The 8,244-nt window shown below is 33.8% G+C and overlaps 1 annotated feature.

The window, feature by feature from the left end:
• Nucleotides 1,771-2,322: an enhancer, noted in NCBI's record as "OCT4-NANOG hESC enhancer chr18:65888487-65889038 (GRCh37/hg19 assembly coordinates)". NCBI's record gives its function as "activates a minimal SCP1, AML or CMV promoter by ChIP-STARR-seq in primed H9 embryonic stem cells {active_cell/tissue: H9 hESC(primed)}" and the evidence as "EXISTENCE:reporter gene assay evidence [ECO:0000049][PMID:30033119]".

The following is an 8,244-nucleotide window of genomic DNA, read 5'->3' on the forward strand; positions in this document are numbered from 1 at the left end:
GTAGGGCATAGATACTGAGAGCTAAAATCTTATGAGTAAATAAGGTCAAGGAACAAGTTTTAGTAACAGGAAGCAGACCAGTGGAAAAATATTGACAAAAGTCCAAGTAGCTGGGAATATTATTGGATCAGAGGATTGTGAGGACTATGATCCTGTAAAGCCTTTTAGTTTTGATTTTACTCTGAGAGAGATGAGGAGCCATTGGATGTTTTTAAGGAGAGGAGGAAAGTATTTTGAAATAATCAGTCTGTGTCAGACTGATTAGAAAAGTAGAAAAGCCATGTAATGCAAGACAGGAGCTGCAAAACCCTGGAGACTTTTAGAAAAGAGAGAGGAAAAATAATATTAAGTACGCAGCAAGTGCAAGGAAATCCTGTCTTTTATCTGTAGGTGTTTGAAATCTGAATTTTGGGATAGAAAATAGCATCACTGGAGATGTTTACAGGGGTCACCATGTCCTTGAGGACAGCCAAGTATTAACAGTAGTAGAAAAAGAGGTTGAGAAAGCAAATCAGGGATTAAAATTTAGGATGTCTTGTTGAGCAACTGACCCACTGTTCCAGCAGACTCTGTGGAATGTCTGGAGATGTAGGAATGCTTGTGAAAGTGGCTCATAGTGAGAGGCACTGAGTTATATGGGATAAATGTCTGCATGGATAAGGGATAACTTGGGAGCCTAGGGCTTCTTGGAATGTGGGGCACATCCAGATAACTTCTTGTAGAAGGATCTCTTAGGCAAATTATGATGGTAGAGTGAGTGGAGAGGCAGTGTCTTAGCAGTAACTAACAGAGCTTGAAGAGTCTCTTGGTTGCACTAGTAGTTTCAAGATTGTAGTGTTGGGCCGAGTGCAGCAGCTCATGCTTGTAATTCCAGCACTTAAGGAGGCCAAGATGGGTGAATTGCTTGAAGCTAGGAGTTTGAGACTAGCCTGGAAAACACGGTAAAACCTTCTCTCTACTGAAAATACAAAAATTACCTGCGTGTGGTGACATCTGCCTGTGGTCCCAGCTACTTGAGAGACTGAGGCAGGAGGATTACCTGAGGCTGGGAGGTTGAGGCTGCAGTGAGCTGAGATCACGCCACTGCACTCCAGTCTAGGAGACAGAGCAAGCCCTGTCTCAAAAAGAAAAAAAAAAAAAAGATTGTGGTGTTGAGGCTGAGGCTGGCAGAGGTGCAATGTCAATAGGACACACATGGTGCTTCCTAAGGGCCACCAAGTTCTCTATGACAGATTTTCCTCATAGTCTGTGTTAACCATAACACAGTTATGGTGAGTGTTATTAACTAACACACCAAACTAGTCAACCATAACTCATCAATAGGAAAAAAAACATCTTTTAGATTCATAAATAAAATTATACTTTAAATAATTTAAGAGAAAAGGATGCAGAATTTAAAGAAATTCTTCCATTACCATGCAAATTTCATTAATTATACCCAATTATGAGTACATTTAGCATTATGAGCCATAATAATTCACATTATTAATATTTAATATGACAGCTGCAAAGTTGTCAAAGAAAATGCAGTATTTTTTTGTCTTTGGTTTATAAGCAAAAGAGGTCAAGGTTTAAATGAGCAGAATAAATTGATTTTAAGCTCCAGCTCTTCCAATAAAAGTGCAACCTAATTAAGTATAACAGCTACAGCTTTAGACAAATGTAAAACATTCAGTAGAAATTTTGACAAAAATGTATTTACCACAAATTGGACGTAGCTGTGATGTGTGAAGATGGAAAGAAAAGTAATGAGCTGTTAACAGACATTTTTGACCAAGGAAATATGAATTGCATTTGACCACATTTTCCATCTGTTAAGATGAGTTATATAAGAGCTGATAAGCAGATGAAGCACCACAGTCTGGCAGGAAGTTAACTTAAATTATGTGCACCAGTGAGGAAAGCTACTCTTAAAATCCAGTGAATTGATTCAAAGATCATTTCTTTTCTTTTTGCATACTAAATACAAATGGCTTTCCAGAACACAAGCAAAAAAATGTTGCCCCAGACTGAGCCAGGCAATTGCCATTGGCATGCAGACTACAGTGATTTTGGAAATCACAATAGAACAAAAGAAAGCAGCAGACATGAAACCTTTACATCTTCATGGCTTATCCTGCATTTAGTGTGTTTACTCTCATTAATAGTAAATTTGGTAAGCCCAGACTTTTCTTTGGATTTAATTTAAGTAATAAACATGCTCCAAATGAGCAGTGGGAGAACTCTTTCAATGCAAATTTTAAGTTCCACTGAGATTTTTAACTTTGCTTTTAGAATGGAAATGTATTAATATCTACTTAAACAGCTCTATAAGTTATTTTCACTTTTTATTTTGAAATAATTTCAGAAATAATTACAAAGTGTTTCTGTGTACCCCTTACTCAAATCTCTAACATTAGCTACTTATAAAACCATGGTACAGTGATCAAAAGTAAAAAAATTAACATTGATAGAGTACTATTTAATTATTAAACTACAGATTATAGTAGGATTTCACCATTTTTTCTACTTTTTTTTACTCTATTTTTTTTTCGTTTCAGGATCCAGTCCAGTGTTCCACTTTGCATTTAGTCATTTTTTCTCCTCCTATCTGTAACAGTTTCTGAGTATTTCCTTGTCTGTCATGACCTTTACACTTTGGAGTACTGACTGGACTGGTATTTTGTAGCTACCCCTTAGTTCGAGTTTGTCTGATATATTCTCATTATTAGATTGAGGTTATGTATTTTGGAGAAGAATACCACAGAGTTAGTGTGTACTTTCCAGCATACCATATCTAGTGGCACATGAAGGCAATACTTCATTATTACTGGGGATGTCAACCTGGTTCATTGGGATTGAGGTAATATCTGCCAGGTTTCTCTACTGTAAAGTTACTATTTTCCCTGAGTAATTAATAAATATTTTAATTAATGGATATTTTGAGGCTCTGTCAACATCTATGTCTGCTTAAAATTTTGAATAGAATGAAATGTACATAAGAACCTATCAAAAATATAATTTCCAGAAAAGAATAAAAAATGAGACAAATTACACATTTTAAAATAACCTCATGGCTAAGATAACATAACCAAGAGTTTTGCACTCTACAGGATAATTTTTATTTTTTATCTCAGTGGGTTTAATTTAAACAGTATTCATATTATATTAATTAGCATTTGATACTGGATATCTGTTAGTTTGCAAACTATTTTCCATCAAAATCTGTATTTTAAACTTCCTTTGAAAGAAATGAGAAAAATCTTATAATCCTGAGCTCATATTATGTTTTAAGCTTAATTGAGGAATAATTGATCTACAAAAACACATATTTAATGTTTATATTTTGATGAGTTTGGACGTATGCATCCTTGTGTGTTTTCATTTGTTTCAGTTTTGTGGAAAGAACACTTATGTAGAGATCTACTCCATTAAAATAATTTAAAGTGCACAATACCATATTGCTAATTATAGCTACAATGTTGAACAGCAGATCTTATAACTTATTCATTTGTATAACTGAAACTTCATATCCATTGAGCAATATTGATGAGTCCATATTTTAATAATACCATAATTTTCTATAGTTGAGTTCTGGATTTTTTTCTACATTTTTCCACAATTATATTGCATCAACAAACTGGCTCATTTATTTGTTATCTTTTTCAAATCTCTAGGCATTTGTGTTTCTGGTGCTTGATGCTGAGAATATGAGGGAGGGTAATATTAATCCACTATTATAAACACCATTAAAGGAGGCCACTTGTTTTTTGTTTGTTTTGTTTTGCTTTGTTTTGTATTTAAAAACTCCATGAAAAAGAAGGAAATACGCTATTTTGTAACTATCATATATCACAGTTACATAGCTGGAATATCACACTAATTTCATTACACTATTTTCTGGCAAAATTCCATTTAAAATAGTTGGCTATTTATTTTTAAGCATTTTATCCAAAAGAGATTTGAACAAAATTTAGCCACTGCTAATGTTTAAAATTCTTGGGTAACTGATAACAGACAAAAGGTTTCATGAATTTACAAAAATTCTAACAGAAAATTGAGGAAGTTTGGGATGCAATTAAAATGGAAACAGCCGCTAACTAAAAATTAGGAGAAGTCCCTCTGTCAGCCAATGCTAATCAACCTCTGCCTCCTACAAAATGCTGCCCTAAAGATCAAAGACACTTGATGGAAAGCCATTAATTGAAAAGAAATATGATGTTACAGAAGACAAGTTTAACTTCTTAAAGTAATCTATTTAAAAAATCAAAGTTATAATTAGTGGGTCAAATGCCAAACATCCCATGTATTGTCTCCCCAAAGATGTTAAAGATGACACCATCCCAAAGGCTTTGTAAAAATACACAAAGATATTTTACGAATCATAAAACGAACTCTGTTTGAAAATTTTTTTACATAATAATAACTATTATAAAATAGATACAGGAGAAAATAGAGAGATGATTTCAGACCAGAGAAGACTTACAGAAAACACATTTTTCAATATTATAATGGCACTCCATCTATTTCTCATTGATGAAATGGGGATACTAACAGTGTTGTTTTGGGGATTGGATGAGTTAATATTTTAAAGCATTTTCAACAGGATAAGTAGTTATATGAGAACTACACAATTCATGACTAAATTCAAATTTGTTCTGCATTTTTCTAGGCATTAAAGATATAATAGTGAATAAAGCAAAGTCAGACAGATGCTAAAGAAAGGAAGTAGGCGATGCATGAACACAGGCATTAATCAAAAAGCAATGAAGGTATGGTAAAGGACAGAGGACCTTTGGCATTGCCATTGTTATTTGTCCAGGGCAGCGGGAAATGTTTAATCATGTAGTGCTTGAAAAGAGATATGCCAGATGTGAGAGGGCCACTCAAATATCTGTTTCGTGAGCTTTCTGGGCAGAGAAAGGGAAATTGGAGCAAGACTGAAGGACTGAAGAATAACAATGAGAGCTGCATGGCTGGAAAATAGCACCATGAGGAAAATCCAAGAGAAGTGAGGTTATAAATGGACCAAACCACGTGAGGACTTTCATAGAATCTAGTTTATAATATGAGTTGATAGGAAGATCATATTCCCACTTTTATCACAAAATTATTATGCAAAACTGAGTAATATTAGTCAATTTATCGTGGGAATTTTGAGATTTAGTTCACTGTAGACAACAACATGACTATGCACTACTGTTTAAAAAGTGGAAAAAATACCTGGAGCCCTTCCCTCTAGCCTCAGGGACACCCAAAGATTCATTCTTGATTGTATTTTTCTTGCAATAACATAAGGATCGCTTACCATACCCAACAATCGCTCAATAACTATTGAATTAACAAGAATAGATGAATCGACTCAAAAATAATTTGAGGAAGTTTCTCAACAAGAACCAATAAATAATAAATGAGTTTCTATACATAATAGACTCATAAATATTTATTACCAGACACTTCCAAAACTACTCTTTCTCTGATCTTATTAGATCAAACAGACTTTTGATTAAAAATTGAGCAATCAATATGCATTTAATAAACAGTAGTTCATTATATAGCATCCTAACTAACCACTACAGATGTAAAAAGTTGAGTAATGACTGCCCAAAGAGGTCCACATCCTAATTCCTTGACACTGTGGTAAATATGTTACCTTATGTGGCTAAAGGGATTTTTGCAGATAGTATCTAATAAGTATTTTGAGATGTAGAGAATATCCTTGATTATTTTGATGACCCAATGTAATTACAAACATCCTTATAAAGAAAGAAAGGAGGTTCAAAGTCAGAGACAAGGATTAGAAGATACTACATAGCTGGCTGTGAATATGGAGGTTGGGGCCACGAGAAAAGGAATTGTAGGGGGCATCCGGGAGCTCAGAAAGAAAGAAAAAACTATTCCCCTAGAGCCTGGAGAAGAAACAGAACCCTCCAGAAATTTCAGTTTTAGGATTTCTGACTTCCAAAGCTGTAAGATGAAAATGTTGTTTTAAGTGACTACATTTTTGGTAATTTGTCAGAGCAGTAATATAAATCTAATATAGCAGTTAAAATAAAAATGTTTAAAGATTGGACTTTTTCCATTTTTAAAATATAATGGAAGAAATAAAATTACTTATATGGAAAACTGAAAGCAAAACAAAACAAAAATATTAATCCAATTTCCTTATTTATAAATTATGAGTATTGGAATATTTATCTCTACCAACTATAACATTTTATTATTCTAATGTTTGCCTCTTATTTGATAATCCAAAGAAGGGTGACTATTCTGTCTTTTCTCATTTTTCTACAACTTTCCAAATTTACCATGTAATTATAAGAACTGTATTGTAATATTTTACTTTTAGTTATTCTTACATATCATCTTCTCATTAAATTTAGGCTTTCAGTAAATATTTCTGAAACAAGTCCAAGTGTTACAGTTCACCAGCAAATGAAAGTCATATTCTCAAAACCAAACCCATCTTCTGCTTAATTCATTTGTTTCATCTGGCTTCCTTAATTTTTCTTACTGTAACTTTCAGTCTCCTAATTTTCAGACATTATTTATTGCCAAGCATCTATTTCCTATAAATTATTTTTTCAAGTCAAGTAGTAAAAGGCTATATATTTAATTAGAATTGCCATGTACTTATACTTTATAACCAGCAGTAAATTAAACTGCCTAAGTGAATCAAAGGAAAAATCCTGATAGAGAAAGAAAGGTTAGCTCTTCAAGGCCAAGTTTCACAATAAGCTACCAAAAATAATATTATTTAAACACGTCAGTTGTTTTAATCATTATAACTTTTATCATAAAATAATTGTCCACAAAATATTTGGTGTAGATGGAGAATTTTTAGGCAGAAAAGTTATCTGTTAATACAATTAAGTTTTTAACAGAAAGAAAATAAATTATCTGTTCTTAATAAAAATGTTCATTATCAACATAGAATAATTTTTAAATTACTTTCATAGGGAAAAAACCTGCATATTGAATATAGGATGACAAATAATAATCAGTTTATCTGATGTACAGTAAAGCCTCTAAAAGTAAGTAATCTTATGGCCTTTCAAGCTCTTAAACTCTTAAAATGGTCTCTTCTTGCTTATTCTATTTCATCTAGTGTCTCCAAGATTTTTTTTTTTTTTTTCTGAGAATGATTCTGTCAAGTTTTTCTTTTTTTTCTTTTTTTTTTTTATTATACTTTAAGTTTTAGGGTACATGTGCACATTGTGCAGGTTAGTTACATATGTATACATGTGCCATGCTGGTGCGCTGCACCCACTAACTCGTCATCTAGCCTTAGGTATATCTCCCAATGCTATCCCTCCCCCCTCCCCCCACCCCACCACAGTCCCCAGAGTGTGATATTCACCTTCATGTGTCCATGTGATCTCATTGTTCAATTCCCACCTATGAGTGAGAATATGCGGTGTTTGGTTTTTTGTTCTTGCGATAGTTTACTGAGAATGATGATTTCCAATTTCATCCATGTCCCTACAAAGGACATGAACTCATCATTTTTTATGGCTGCATAGTATTCCATGGTGTATATGTGCCACATTTTCTTAATCTAGTCTATCATTGTTGGACATTTGGGTTGGTTCCAAGTCTTTGCTATTGTGAATAATGCCGCAATAAACATACGTGTGCATGTGTCTTTATAGCAGCATGATTTATACTCATTTGGGTATATACCCAGTAATGGGATGGCTGGGTCAAATGGTATTTCTAGTTCTAGATCCCTGAGGAATCGCCACACTGACTTCCACAATGGTTGAACTAGTTTACAGTCCCACCAACAGTGTAAAAGTGTTCCTATTTCTCCACATCCTCTCCAGCACCTGTTGTTTCCTGACTTTTGAATGATTGCCATTCTAACTGGTGTGAGATGGTATCTCATTGTGGTTTTGATTTGCATTTCTCTGATGGCCAGTGATGATGAGCATTTTTTCATGTGTTTTTTGGCTGCATAAATGTCTTCTTTTGAGAAGTGTCTGTTCATGTCCTTCGCCCACTTTTTGATGGGGTTGTTTGTTTTTTTCTTGTAAATTTGTTTGAGTTCATTGTAGATTCTGGATATTAGCCCTTTGTCAGATGAGTAGGTTGCAAAAATTTTCTCCCATGTTGTAGGTTGCCTGTTCACTCTGATGGTAGTTTCTTTTGCTGTGCAGAAGCTCTTTAGTTTAATTAGATCCCATTTGTCAATTTTGGCTTTTGTTGCCATTGCTTTTGGTGTTTTGGACATGAAGTCCTTGCCCACGCCTATGTCCTGAATGG

This window comes from Homo sapiens, chromosome 18 (assembly GCF_000001405.40).
Source record: "Homo sapiens chromosome 18, GRCh38.p14 Primary Assembly".
NCBI classification, from domain to species: domain Eukaryota; kingdom Metazoa; phylum Chordata; class Mammalia; order Primates; family Hominidae; genus Homo; species Homo sapiens.